Source organism: Homo sapiens, chromosome 12, assembly GCF_000001405.40.
Source record: "Homo sapiens chromosome 12, GRCh38.p14 Primary Assembly".
Taxonomy (NCBI): Eukaryota; Metazoa; Chordata; class Mammalia; order Primates; family Hominidae; genus Homo; species Homo sapiens.
In genome coordinates this window covers 4573650-4588696 of record NC_000012.12, presented here as the reverse complement: position 1 = coordinate 4588696, position 15047 = coordinate 4573650, and the positions used below count along the sequence as shown (strand labels likewise).

Sequence of the window (15047 nt, the reverse complement as noted above, 5' to 3'; positions counted from 1 at the left end):
TTTAAAAAAAATCAATATGGCCTTTTCTTCCAACAAAATCTTAACTAGAGACCCTGCTTACGGTAAGGAGTAACAGCTGAGCTGCTCTTGCTCTTTAGAAAAGAAAATGGCCATTGCCTTGCCTGGAAGTCTTTTCGCCCTGAGTGTGGCTCTGAAGGTGGCATAGTGGAACCCACCCAGTGGAACACAGGCACCCAGCCTGGACACCAGTGCCCTGATCAGAAGAGACTTCACGCCTAGAAGGGTGAGGAGAAGAAGACCAAAATACTAGAGCAGTGTGTCCCAGAGGGCGGCAAGCACCCCGCAGAGGAAGAGGACGTAATGTGTACAGTACGCAGATAAAGAGCTATCTAATGGGTATGGATTTACTGTAATATCCATTTGAAAAACTGTAACAAGCACATTGAACTTGTAACGTTGTGGTTGTTATTATGTAGGATGAGATTAAAATTTAAGTTAAAAAAAAAAGTAAGGCCAGGCATGGTGTCTCACACCTGTAATCCCAGTGCTTTGAGAGGCTGAGGTGGGACGATCACTTGAGGCCAAGATTTCCAGGTTACAGTGAGCTATGATCGTGCCACTGCACTCCAGCCTGAGCAACAGATAGAGACCTTGTCTCTACAAAAAACAATAATAAAACAAAACAGAGTGTGAGGACTATGTAGGCGTAGGCATGGCAAAAACTGTAAAGCTGGCCCTCAAATGACTGAAGTTTAGCAAACAACAGGCTAGAGCTTGAATCGAAGTTCTGGTCTTTGAAGCCAAACCAGGGTTCCTCCTTCTTCCAGACCTCCCCTATGGAGTTGAAGGATGTTTATCCAAAGCTGACACACAGCTGGTATCAGACCCACTTCTGTAAACATTTGGCCACACTGAAATAACAACTGGGTACAACACTTAATATCATCCAGCACAGCTAAGTCCTGCACAGCACAGTAATGATGAGGACTATTTGGGACAGTCAATCTTGACCTCCTGCAATAGGGAGGTAGTCTGAGGGAGAGAGGGTTGCATAGAACATGGGGCATGGTCTCAGACCACGTTAATTCGCTAATGTGCTACATTTAGGATTCCACTATTGAATGGAAAATGGTATCTGAGCAAATATTGCAATTGCAAATCTCAGAGTCTCAATTTCTCATCAAGTAGGTTTGTGGGGATGAATATTCATTAGCATCGTCAATAACAGGCTGACATTGAGGATGCGGTAGGGAGACTGGACAGATAAATGAAAGGTACATTAACAGAATACAGCCCAAACTAAATACGAAACAAAGGGCATGAACAGTGAGTATCAACAAAGAAGGAAAAGATCACTGTGAATGCAATCGGCCCAGGAGGATGGTGGTAGAGGGGGCGCTCTTCTGAATGGGTGAGGCTTGGTCTGGGCTTTAACCGAGAGGACGGGTAGAGAGCATGCTTGCTCAGTGAAACAACACCACCCAGGCACGCTCCAGGGCTCTTCCCTGCTCATGCTGGGTAAGCAGGAACAGGGGGTTGACCACAGGGCATGGAAAGCACTGAAAGACTAAGACGCTTGGTCTTTATCCCGTGGGCAACAGTGAACCACTAACAATTTGTATAGCTGGCAGTTACATGTGCAAAGCAGTATTTCAGAAAGACCCCATCAGCAGCAATGTGATAAAATAATGCTCATGGGTATGGACTCTAAAATCACACTCTTTCATTTTGATTCCTGGTTCCACTACTGATTGTTTGAACCTGGGCAAGTTATTAGCCTATCTTCATGTAATGTGGTGATAATATTAGTACCAACCTCAAAACACTGTGAGGATTAAGGGAGTTAATATGTGTAAAGTGCTTTGCACATGCCAAAGTTGTCTGCTAGAGTTCATTTTCCTTATTTGCAAAATGGAGAGAGCGATCTTTGCTCATTTCCCATGAACAGGAAAACCATGGACTCAGAGCTTAGCTGACAGAGCAAAGGGGTGTGTGTGTGTGTCTGTGTGTGTGTGTGTGTGTGTGTGTGTACGCAGCCCAGGAGTTTAGCAGCCCCAGGTGACCAAGTGACCCCGAGGACTGGTGGCCTCTACATCTCTGCACACTTGTACTCCATTCTCAAATACCCACAGGTCACACAAGTTTATGAACTTGCTGATTGTTGGCTGTCTTTCAGCAGCTTCCCCAAGAGGCACACAGTGCCCCATAAAAACACTTAATTCGACCAAGGGATCGCTGGGAGGCAAAAGGAAGCGGGTGTGCTCTCCCGTATTCACAGCTGCAAGACAGGATTTTTTTTGAAGAAAGTGAGCTTTCATGACATTGTTATATCTAAGCCAATAAAACAGGAATCTCCTTAGTAGTCCTGAGCTCTGTATCTAAATCTAGAATCTCCTATGTAACAAAAGATTTTATTCACAGGGGTCCAGAGCAGGGGGGTGCTTCCTGTGCAGTCTAAGACCTGGGCCCTGCCTCTAGAGGGGACAGGAGATCAGAAGAAAGGGCATCAGTGAAAGCCAACGAGGCTCTTTTCTTGTTTCTAGAGAAGGTGTCTTGCCCTGTTACCCAGGCTGCAGCCTCAACCTCCCAGCCTCAAGCAATCCTCCCACCTCAGCCTCCCAAGTAGCTGGGACTACAGGTGCATGCCACCAAGCCCAGCTAATTTTTATTTTTATTTTTATTTTTGGTAGAGACAGGATCTTGCTGTTTTCCCAGGCTGGTCTCAAACTCCTGAGCTCAAGCAATCCTCCTGCCTTGGCCTCCCAGTGTTGGGATTACAGGCGTGAACCATCATGCCCCCAGCTAAAGCTCTTTTCAGTTCTCGTTTTTGTGACCATCACAGCTCTCAGAAGACTTCTAAACAGCCAGAACTAAATTATGAAGTTTCTTTATCTTCCAAACTTTTTGTATGAATATGTACTGCTTTTATCATTAAAAATACCATTTTGAAAAATTATTATTATACTTTAAGTTTTAGGGTACATGTGCACAACGTGCAGGTTTGTTACATATGTATACATTTGCCATGTTGGTGTGCTGCACCCATTAACTCATCATTTACATTAGGTATATCTCCTAATGTTATCCCTCCCCGCTCCCCCCACCCCACAACAGTCCCCGGTGTGTGATGTTCCCCTTCCTGTGTCCATGTGTTCTCATTGTTCAATTCCCACCTGTGAGTGAGAACATGCGGTGTTTGGTTTTTTGTCCTTGTGATAGTTTGCTGAGAATGATGGTTTCCAGCTTCATCCATGTCCCTACAAAGGACATGAACTCATCATTTTTTATGGCTGCATAGTATACCATTGTTTAAAAGCAAAAGATATTACAGCAGATAACTATAAATGGTTCCATGCAATGCAAGGGAGGAGAAGGCAATAATAAGTGCAGCAGCACTCTCTCCATGAGACCCTTGAGAGAGTGGAATAGGCTCTAGAAGGAGGCATCAAGGAAACTACGCTGGGAGAGCTTCAGTCTATGGAAACAGCAATTGTGGGAATCAAGAGAAGGGACAGGAGATGCTGGGCTCACAAGTAGGCTGAGGCCACTAAGATTCACACGTAGGCCCACACTTGAGTCGGGATTCCCTGGGGTCTCCCGCTGTGCTTGTCATCACTAAGAGATAAACCCATAGGATCTGAACACTGCGGTGACATGCCACAGGCAGGCTGATGGCGGGTGAGGGGTGCTCCAGTCTCAAGTCCTGACCCAGGGCCCCTCCTCTGCCGTCTTGTGAGTCTGTGTTTTGAGCTAGCTAAGCACTTGGGTTCTCACACTTCTTTTGTTTTCTCAGAAGAAAAAAAAAGCAAACTCCATCCTCATGTTTCAGCTAGCTCACCCTTCTCCAATAGAAACTGAGTTCAGCTTAAAAGCTGATTAGAGGCCAGGCGCGGTGGCTCACGCCTGTAATCCCAGCACTTTGGGAGGCCGAGGTGGGTGGATCACGAGGTCAGGAGATCAAGACCATCCTGGCTAACATAATGAAACCCCGTCTCTACTAAAAACACAAAAAATTAGCCGGGCGTGGTGGTGGGCGCCTGTAGTCCCAGCTACTCGGGAGGCTGAGGCAGGAGAATGGCATGAACCCAGGAGGCAGAGCTTGCAGTGAGCCAAGATCGCACCAGTGTACTCCAGCCTGGGCGACAGAGCAAGACTCTGCCTCAAAAAAAAAAAAAAAAAAAAAGGCTGATTAGAAAAGGAAGGGGGAAACTTGAAACCAGTTTACTCACCCTGCCCCCTACTCTGCACCTGGCATTTATGCAAAATAACTACAAAGGTGCCAAACTGTTCCTTCCAGTTACTCAGTCCTGTGATCCTGCTCTTCTTCTTGCCTCAAAGATTCTTCCGGCAACACCTGCCTCCTGCTTCCGCAAGCCGGAAGGATGCACAGAATCACTGAGTTGCAGTGGACCTTGGAGATGCATTCATTCTTAACGCATTTACTGAACATATCTATGTGCCTACCGAGCAGTGTGCCAAGCACAGATCACACAGTCCAGCCTCCCTAGCAGTAGAGCCCAGAAACCTGTATTTTAAGCTTCCCCAAGTGAGTTCTGTGCAGGCAGATTTGGGAGCCACATTCTAATATAATCCCCTCTTTTGGAACTAGTCTCTCCCACCTCTGAACTTTTGTTTTTCTTTGTGTCATTGATGTTTATGTATCCTTTCTAACTTTTTACAAATTTTTCTCATCTTCCCCCAGGAAATTCCATGGCAACAAACATTAGGCTTTCCACAATGTGCCAGCCCTGGAACTTCAAGACCAGTCCCACTGGCTGGGTCATCGGGCGGGGCGGTCCCACAGAACCTGCCCTGCGTGTCAGTGTCCATGCCATCATTACAAGAACGTAAAGTGAGCTGGGACCAGCTCCAGAGCCAATCTTGGATTTGCTGCGTGTCTCAGGAGGGAGTAGAATTTCACTAAGTGTCATCTTCCCTGACACTACTTCTTTGTATGATGTCACAGGGAAGTGCCTCAATTGCAAATTCATATTACTGAACACAAGCTGACAACCATCTCACTTTCAAAAGTGAGAGTCAAGGCTGGGCGCAGTGGCTGACACCTGTAATCCCAGCACTTTGGGAGGCCGAGGCAGGTGGACCACCTGAGGTCGGGAGTTGCAGACCAGCCTGGCAAACATGGTGAAACCCTGTCTCTACTAAAAACACAAAAATTAGTCGGGCGTGGTGGCAGGCGCCTGTAGTCTCAGCAAAGGTGCTGTGACTGAAGTACAGAGCACGGGGTAGCGAGTGGCTTACAAATATTAATACAAGAGGGAATGGTCACAGAGGCTTCCTGGAAAAAGTGCTGCTATGGCTGAGGCCCAAATGCGGGTGAACGATGGGGACGTGGACTGGGTCACATGGCGTTGGGGTGGGTGATGGGAGAACATTCCAAGCAGAAACAGAGCAGGAGCAAAAGTGCTGAGATGTAGAACAGTGCCATGTTTGAAAATGGCAAGACTTGCAATGGCAGGAGCCAAAAGGCAGGGGTAGAAGCTGAGGAATGAGAATTGCTTGAACCTGGGAGGTGGAGGTTGCAGTGAGCTGAGATGGTGCCACTGCACTCTAGCCTCGGTCATGGAGCAAGACTCTGTCTCTTTTTCAAACTTCAAATTGTTACGATTTCTTACTGTGAGTGGCATAATTATGTGAGAATAAAGATACCCCTTCACCATTCTTTGCCCACCACATCCCTAGTTCAGGCACCTATTGCAATGGTCTCCTAAGCAGTTTTCCTGCCTCTCCGCATTCCATCCCATCCTCTACCCTTCCTCCTGAGTGGCCTCAGAAATTAAACATGAGCATCTGATCACATTAGTAAGTTGCCTCCATCTCCTAGCAACTTACCAGGGAGCAGAAGTCCTGGCTCACAAAGCGCCCCCAGCCTCAACCCTTGTCATGGCCCTACCCCTGCCTTTTGGCTCCTGCCACTGCAAGTCTTGCCATTTTCAAACACCGCACTGTTCCACATCTCAGCACTTTCACTCCTGCTCTGTTTCTGCTCGGAATGTTCTCCCATCACCCACCCCACCGCCATGTCATCCAGTCCATGTCCCCATCGTTCACCCGCATTTGGGCCCCAGCCATAGCAGCACTTTCTCCAGGAAGCCTCTGTGACCACTCCCTCTTGTATTAATATTTGTAAGCCACTCGCTACCCTGTGCTCTGTACTCTATTACAGCACCTGCAAAGGCTTGTTAGACAAGGTTGTTTTACTGGTTTCTTCTTCTGGTATATAAGACTCTTTTTTATTTTATTTTATTTCATTTCATCTCATTTCATTTCATTTTATTTGAGATGGAGTTTCGCTCTTATTGCTGGAGTGCAGTGGCGCCATCTCGGCTCACCGCAACCTCCGCCTCCCAGGTTCAAGCGATTCTCCAGCCTCAGCCTCCCGAGTAGCTGGGATTACAGGCACGCGCCACCACGCCTGGCTAATTTTGTATTTTTAGTAGAGATGGGGTTTCTCTATGTTGGTCAGGCTGGTCTCGAACTCCCGACCTCAGGTGAAACCTCCCACCTCAGCCTCCCAGAGTGCTGGGATTACAGGCGTGAGCCACTGCTCCTGGCCAAGACTCTTTAATAAAAGACCTGGGTCTTATCTCAAAGCCTAACATGATAAGCATTACAGATAGAGCATCCCTAGCCTGAAATGCTCCACTTTTGAGTGCCGACAATGACACCACTCACGTGCACAAACTTTGTTTCATGCACAAAGTTATTTAAAATACTGTATAAAGGTGCCTCAGGCCACATGCATAAAGTGTATATGCAACATAAATGAATTTTGTGTTTAGAATTGGGTCCCATCCCCAAAATATCTCATTATGTATATGCAAATATGCTTAAATCTAAAAAAATCTGAAACTCAAAACACTTTTGGTCCCAAGAATTTCGGATAAGAGATGCTCAACCTGTAGTAGGCACTTAAATATTTGCTAAAGGAGGAGGAAAAGAAGGTGAGAGGGAAGGACAGGAGAGAGGCAGGGAGGGAGCAGGATGTTTCAGGACCCAGCACTTGTCCTGAAAGATCTGAGACAACTCTAGGCTGTCCAGGGAGACAACTGAGCTTTGACTTCAGTCCTTCCCTCTCCTGGTGGTCAGTCCATCCTTGCCCTGTTCTAGCCTCATTCCTCGTTCTTAGTGGCTTCTATTCCCACCAGGAAAGTGCTCCCATGCTCCCCGGCCCTTCTTTTGGAAGGAAAGCCTCTAATCAGCGAATTCACACAAGAGAATCTTCTCTGCTCATGCCCCCTCTCAAAGGCAGCTGCAATTTCAAAGAGAATGCCTGGAAAAGGAAGCGCTTTCTTCCAAATAAATGAATTGCTACTCAAAGGAAACAAGAGATGGTTCATGGTAGGAAAGAAGAACCTGTCTGGCAGAAGCCTGTTCCCATTACAAACCGCACTGACCTGACTATGTAATCTCTGTGTCAGAGTGGATGAAAGAGGTACCCTGAGGGGTGGAATTCCCAGTCCCATGTCCCACTTCAGTGTCTTGTCCCTAGGTGCTCTGCCTTCCCCTCTATTCTGTATTCTCATCATGTCAGGCCCTGACCCCCAGCAAGCACAGGCTCTCTCACCTTGGGTATCAAGCTCAGTTTACCCAAGGACCACAGGGGAGTATTATGTCCTGCCCTCTCACACCAAGACCCAAAGGATAATAGGACTGGTCCCTATTTAGGGCTAGTTAGAGCAGAACTCTAGAAGCACTGGCTCATCTTATTACCTTGGACCGAACGCTGGATGTCCTCACCTGGACTGTTCAGGGAAGATAGCAACTGGACTCTCTGCAGGCCTCAGGCCACCCAGCCTTTTCGGAAAGGCACACCTCCATCACACCATCCCGCCTCAGTCATACTTCACAGGCGATTTTCCTGTTTTCTCAGCTGACTCCTCCTTGTCTCTTCCTGTTTCCCATTTAAAAAAAAAAAAATCCCTAAGTGCCTGGTGGTTGGATGGGCAAATGAAGCTCAGCTTCTGTGATATCAGCTCACAACTTCTTCCTTACAGGCTCTGTCATCCCTTCCCAGAGGCCAGAACTACCAGGAGTTAAAAATAAATGCATTCATGCAGGGAGGGGGTGTGACCAGGAGAAAGAAACAAACTCTTTGGGGATTTTCTGCAGAATGCAACTAGTTAGACAATTAGGCTCAGCAGAGCATCACAAAGAACTGGGAGGGAGGGAGGTGGCTGGGCTCCTAAGGGTCCCCAGCTAAGGGATTAAGCTACCCTGGCTGCTACAGACCTTGAACAAATCACAGCATCTCTCCCACTGCCATTTGAAGCTAAGGGTCTGCCCTTTAAGTCCCTTTGCTGTGCATGAGGGAGCCCAGGATGCCTAGATGGGGAGGAGCCGCCTCCAAATCACACCAACAGCCACAGCTGCACCCCTGAGACCCATTAGTGGGACGAACGTGGCCAGCCTCTTGGGAGGACCAGATTTTCATCTCGTTGATGTAGTAGCCTCCCTGGGGTCCTACCCACCAGCTCTGTCCCTAGTAGAGGTGGAAAGAGGAGGCCCTGCCATCCTTGAGGAAGGGCAAGAGCCTGGGGGTCCAGATAGCTGGAGTCAATTTCTAATGCATTCAGTGCAGGGCCTTGGGGAGATACTTTGTTTTCTGGACTTCTGTTAAATGCACCTTGGTAAATCATGATAATGAATGTGACCTTAGGGCATGTGTAGTATAATGCCCTCATTTTACAGATGGAGAAAGGGAGGCAAACATTATCCAAGTGACTTGTCCAAGATAACACAATTAACAGCAGCAAGCCCGTCTAGAACGTAAGCCCTCTAGCGTCATTTTACTGTCTCATGCTGCCACCCAGTGATCTCCTCTGACCTCTTTGTGTTCTGCCAGGAAACCGGGTGACAAGGGATTATAAAGAACTTCCCCTCCAAAGGTCGCTAATTAAAAGTAAGATCATGCTTTTATTCTGATAGTGCCTGAATTCAGCTGACAATAGAGACATTCAGAAAGCAAGCATTTATTCTATAAATTAGACACTAAATTTCCTATAATATAAAGTGGATTTATGCATCATGTAGGAGGGTTTGAGTAGATAATTTCTAAGGCTCTATTTCTATCGATTTAGATAGAATGCCTTTGCATGCTTTTGTATATGTTATTTCTTCTGCCTGAAATGCCCTCCCTCCAGTCCACATGCAGCCTCCTTGCTTAACTCCAGGGGGAGTGATTCATTTAGATGAAAATATGAATAAAGAGCCCTGTAACTCATGCCATGTGACAGTACTAAAGTGACCGGCATGTCAGTGAAGCATGAAATGGTACGCTGGGCATTAGCCAATGGCTTAAGAAAACTTTGTCTAGACTCTCAGAGAACTGTTTCTACCTGCATGAGAGCACTCCCATGCCTCAGTGTCACTTGGCCATTGTGTGTTTTATTTTTTATTTTTATTTATTTATCATTATTATTATCATGATTATTATTATCATTTTGAGACGGCATCTCGCTCTGTCACCAGGCTGGAGTGCAGTGGTACAATCTCGGCTCACTGCAACCTCCGCCTCCCAGGTTCAAATGATTCTCCTGCCTCAGCCTCTCAAGTAGCTGGGACTACAGGGCACGCCACCACGCTCAGCTAATTTTTGTATTTTTAGTAGAGACGGGGTTTCACCATGTTGGCCAGGATGGTCTCAATCTCTTCACCTCATGATCCACCCACCTCGGCCTCCCAAAGTGCTGGAATTACAGGCATGAGCCACTGCACCCGGCCCATTTGCAGTTTATGTCACACTAGACTGTGAAAGAAGGAGATGTGCATGTCTATTTTTGTATCCCAGCACCAAAAACAATGCTTGGCTCTCAATAATCACGTATGGGATGATTTGTAAAAGAGTTCATCAGTCAAGGGTCATTAGGCCTCACAGGATAGAGAAAAGTACACAGACCTCAGAGTCAGACAGATTTTGACTGGCATTCCTATGCTGCCACTCGCTGGCTGTGTGGCCTTGGCAAACCATTCATACTCTCTCAGACTCAGGCTTTTCCACAAAACAAGACTAGTAAAAAGTTAAAAGATACAAGACAACAAGGTGCTGTGGGTGAGAATTAGCAAAAACTATAAACACCAGAATCAGATCACCCCCAATATTTCCAAATAGTTATATTTCCAAATATAATATCCAAGTATTGGAATTATCAGGTAAAACTTATAAATTAACTACGCATAACTTGCTTAAAGAAATTAAAGAGCCTAAAAATGTGAGTAAAGTGTAAGACTCCATGCAAATAACAGAACAGATTTAAAAATGAACAAATTAGAATTTTCAAAACTAAAAAATATAACAGTTGAAATTAAAAACCAAATGAATGGGCTTAATAACATATTATACATAGCCAGAGGGAGTATGAATGAACTGGAAAAGACAGGTTTGAAGAAATTAACCAGCAATTTCTTCAAAGAGATAAAAAATCTGGTCAGAGATTATAGACGTAGAGGATAAAACAAGGTTTAACATACATTTAATTTGAGTTTCAGAAGAAAAGAAAGAGTATGAAAGAGATAATGACAAAATGGCTAGAAGTATTTTTCAGAACTGATGAAAGGCAAAATTATAAAACTTTTAGAAGGCAATACCTGTATAACTTCAGAGTAGGGAATGATTTATTAAGACAAAAAGTGCATACCATAAATTTACCTGCTTTTAATTAATTACTTCTGTTTATCTAAAAACAACATAAAGAAAGTAAAAAGAAAACCCAAGATTGTATAAAAGCTGCAGGATAAAAGACATTAATACACAAAAGTCAATTGCTCTCTTATATACAGAAATGAACCATTGGAATTTGAAATTAAAAGTGCAATACCATTTACATTAACACTCCCAAGAAACTGAAATACTTAACTATAAATATGACAAAATGTGTATGAGATCTATCTGAGAAAAACTACAAAACTCTGGTTGAAGAAATCAAAGAGGATCTAAATAAATTGAGATATTTTCCATGTTCATGATAGGAAGACTAAATATCATGAAGATATTAGTTCTTCCCAACTTAATCTGTAGATTCAACACAATCCCAATCAGAATCCTAGCAAGTTATTTTATGGACATCAACAAACTGATTCTAAAATTCATGTGGAAAATGAAAAGACCTAGAATAGCCAACACAAAACCAAAGAACAGCAAAGTTAGAGGACTGATGACCCAACCTCAAGACTTACTATAAAGCTACAGCGATCAAGACAGTGTGGCACTGAAGAAAGAACAGACAAATAGTTCAATGGAACAAATAGAGGCCCCATAAATAGACCCACACAAACATAGTCAACTGATCATTGACAAAGGAGCAAAATCAATTCAATGGAGAAAGGCATCTCTTCAACAAATAGTACTAAGCCCAGCATGGTGGTGCACACCTGTAGTCCCAATTACTCAAGGAGGCTGAGGCCAGAGGATCACTTGAGGTCATGAGTTTGAGACCAGCCTGGGAAATGTAGCAAGACTTATTAAAAACAAACAAAAACAGTGCTGGCACAATTGGACATCCACAAAAAAAAATTAATCTAGACACAGAATTTATACCTTCCACAAAGATTAACTCAAAATGGCTCATAGACCTAAATAGAAATCACGAAACTATAAAACTTCTAGAAGGTGACATAGAAGAAAATCTAGGTGACCTTCAGTTCAGTAATGACTTTTTAACTACAATAAAAAAGCACGATCATGACGGAAAAAAATGGATACGCTGGGCTTCATTAAAATTAAAACTTCTTTGCAAAAGACTTTGTTAAGAAAACGAAAAGAGAAACCATAGACTGGTAGAAAATATGTGCAAAACACATATCTGAGAAGGGATTGTGTCTAAGTATACAAAGTACTCTTAAAATTCAACAATAAGAAAGCAATCCAATTAAAAATTAGCAAAATATCTGAATAAACACCAGCTCTCCAAATAAGATATATAGATGTCAAATATGCATATGAAAAGATGCTCAATATTATGTTATTAGGCAATTGCAAATTAAAACAATGAGATGCCACTACACACCTACTAGAACGTCCAAAACCGCATTTTGACAACACCAAATGCTGGCAAGGAGGTGGCATAACAAGAATTCTTATTCATTGTTGGTGGGAAGGCAGAATGGTACAGCTTGTTTGGAAGACAGTGTAGCAGTTTCTTATGAAGCTAAATATAGCCTTAACATACAATCCAGCAATCATGCTCCTTGGTTCACCCAAATGAACTAAAAAAATGTATGTCCACATAAAAACCTGCACATGAATGCTTATAGCAGATTTATTTATAACTGCTAAAAAATTGGAAACAACCAAATTGTCCTTCAGTCAGTGAATGGATAAGCAAACTGGTACACCCATACAGTGCAGTATTATTCACTGATAAAAGGAAATAAGCTCTCAAGCCATGAAAAGACATGGAGGACATTACTGCTAAATGAAAAAAGCCATCTGAGAAGGCAATATACTGCATGATTCCAACTATACAATATTCTAGAAAAGGCAAAACTAAGGAGACAGTATAAAGAGTGGTTGCCAGGGGTTTTGTTGTTGGGGGGAAAGGATGAATAGATGGACAATGGGGTATTTTTAGGTCAGTGAAACTATCCGGTATCATCCTATAATAGTAGACAAATGACATTATGCCTTTGTCAGACTCCTAGAATGTACAACACAAAGGAGGAACTCTAATGTAAACTATGAACATCAGCTAATAATAATGTATCAATCTTCGTTCATCAATTGTGCCAACTATACATGAATGTAAAATGTCAATAATAGGAGAAACTGTAAAGAGGAATGGGTTATATGGAAAGTGTACTTCTCTGCTCAATTTTTCTGGGAACCTAAAACTGCTCTTTAAAAATTAAATAAATAAAAAACAGACAAGCCAACAACTAGGAGAAGCTGTTTGCAGCACATACAACTGACAAAGGATGAGTAGACAGAATATGTAAAATATTCTGTAAATCAATAAAAAAGGACAAACAGCACAACAGAAAAATTCTTAAACAATAAAGGCATGACCAAGTATTTCAAAGAAGAGGAAACACAAATAGCCAATAAATACATTAAAAACGGTTCAATCTCATTAACAGTCATCATCAAAATGCACATTAAAATACAATAAATTGGCTGGGCACGGTGGCTCATGCCTGTAATCCCAGCACTTTGGGAGGTCGGGGCGGGTGGATCACGAGGTCAGGAGATCAAGACCATCCTGGCCAACATAGTGAAACCCCGTCTCTACTAAAAGTACAAAAAAATTAGCTGGTAGTGGCGGCATGCATCTGTAGTCCCAACTACTCAAGAGGCTGAGGCAGGAAAATTGCTTGATCCCGAGAGGCAGAGGTTGCAGTGAGCCGAGATCGCACCACTGCACTCCAGCCTGGGCAATAGAGCGAGACTCCGTTTCGAAAACACACACACACACACACACACAGTAAGTTATTGTTAGTAAATTGGCAAGCTAAAAAGTCACACAATATCAGGTAATAAAAAGTATGTGGAAGACTGAAATGTGTGCACACTACTGGTGACAAGGTACATTTGCACCAATGTTTTGGAAAACAGTTTGTCATTATCTGGTAACGTCAAGCATTCACATATCCTGTTACCCAGCGGTTCCCCTCCTGGGAATACATCTTAGAAATGCCTATACAGACACACTAAGAAACGTGCACAAGAATGCTCATAGCAGCATCATTTTCAATAGCAAACATGGCCGGGCACATTGGCTCACGCCTATGATCCCTGCACTTTGGGATGCCGAGGCTGGTGGATCACTCGAGGTCAGGAGTTTGAGAGACCAGTCTGGCCAACAAGGTGAAACCCCATTTCTACTAAAAATACACAAATTAGTTGGGCATGGTGGCGTGCACCTGTAATCCCAGCTACTGGGGAGGCTGAGGCACAAGAATCACTTGAACTGGGGAGGCGGAGGCTGCAGTGAGCCGAGATCGCACCACTGCGCTCCAACCTGGGTGACAAAGCAAGACTGTGTCTAAAAAAAACTTTTCAATAAAAAATAAATAGCAAACGCACAAGAAAAAACAAAATGTCCATTAATTGTAAAACTGATAAAAAATGTAGTGTTCCCGTATAATGAAACATGGTAGTTAAGTTAATTGAGAACCAGTGTTCCTAGAACAGAGGTGATATTCATAGTATTTAAAGACTCGGGGCACAGGTAATGATCAATCAGCAGAGGCCTAATCAATCCCAGTGAAAGCGGCCAAATGTTATACCAATGTACGCTGGCTTCGCACTGAGCATAAAAAGCAGTCTGCAGAAGAACACTCAACAGTATGATTCCATATATATTTTTAAAAAACATGCAAAATGAGCCAATACATAGTTTAGAAGGTTTAGAAACAGATAAAGAAAATTAGTGGAATAATAGATGTAAAACTCAAGAGAGTAGTTATCTCAGACGGGACAATGAACAGGACGAGATACCATGGGGAGGGACACACATGGGACTGCTTTCTTTCCTTTTTTTTTTTTTTTTTTTTTTTAAGATGGAGTCTCGCTCTGTCGCCCAGGCCAGGGTGCAGTGGCGCGATCTCGGCGCACTGCAACCTCCGCCTCCCAGGTTCAAGCAATTCTCCTGCCTCAGCCTCCCGAGCAGCTGGGATTACAGGCACCCGCCACCACGCACGGCTAATTTTTTGTATTTTTAGTAGAGATGCGGTTTCACCGTGTTAGCCAGGATGGTCTCCATCTCCTGACCTTGTGATCCACCCGCCTTGGCCTCCCAAAGTGCTGGAATTACAGGCGTGAGCCACTGCGCGGGGCCTGGGACTGCTTTCTTAAAACCTTGTGTTGGGTACACACAAGGGTGATCATTGTATCATTCTTTATACCTTACACATATTTCTTTAATATTATTTTATATATACTCAACACAATAATAAAAATTATTTCTTGAAAAGCATTCATGAATTACAGAATAAAATCTGAATCCTGATTTCAGCTTTTATTCCCAGAATGACTTCAGGTGCCTGGCTACATAAATCTCTTTGGATCTCAGTTTCCTCCTCTGTAAAATGGAGGTAATGACCCCCTCAACACTGTTGAAAGAAGCAAACAA

At 43.7% G+C, this 15047-nt stretch overlaps 1 protein-coding gene across 3 annotated transcripts in view; it reads right to left on the bottom strand.

The window, feature by feature from the left end:
• The window catches only part of DYRK4 (dual specificity tyrosine phosphorylation regulated kinase 4), a 51668-nt gene that overhangs the window by 25179 nt on the left and 11442 nt on the right, over positions 1-15047 (bottom strand). The gene's annotated exons all lie outside the window — the stretch shown is intronic.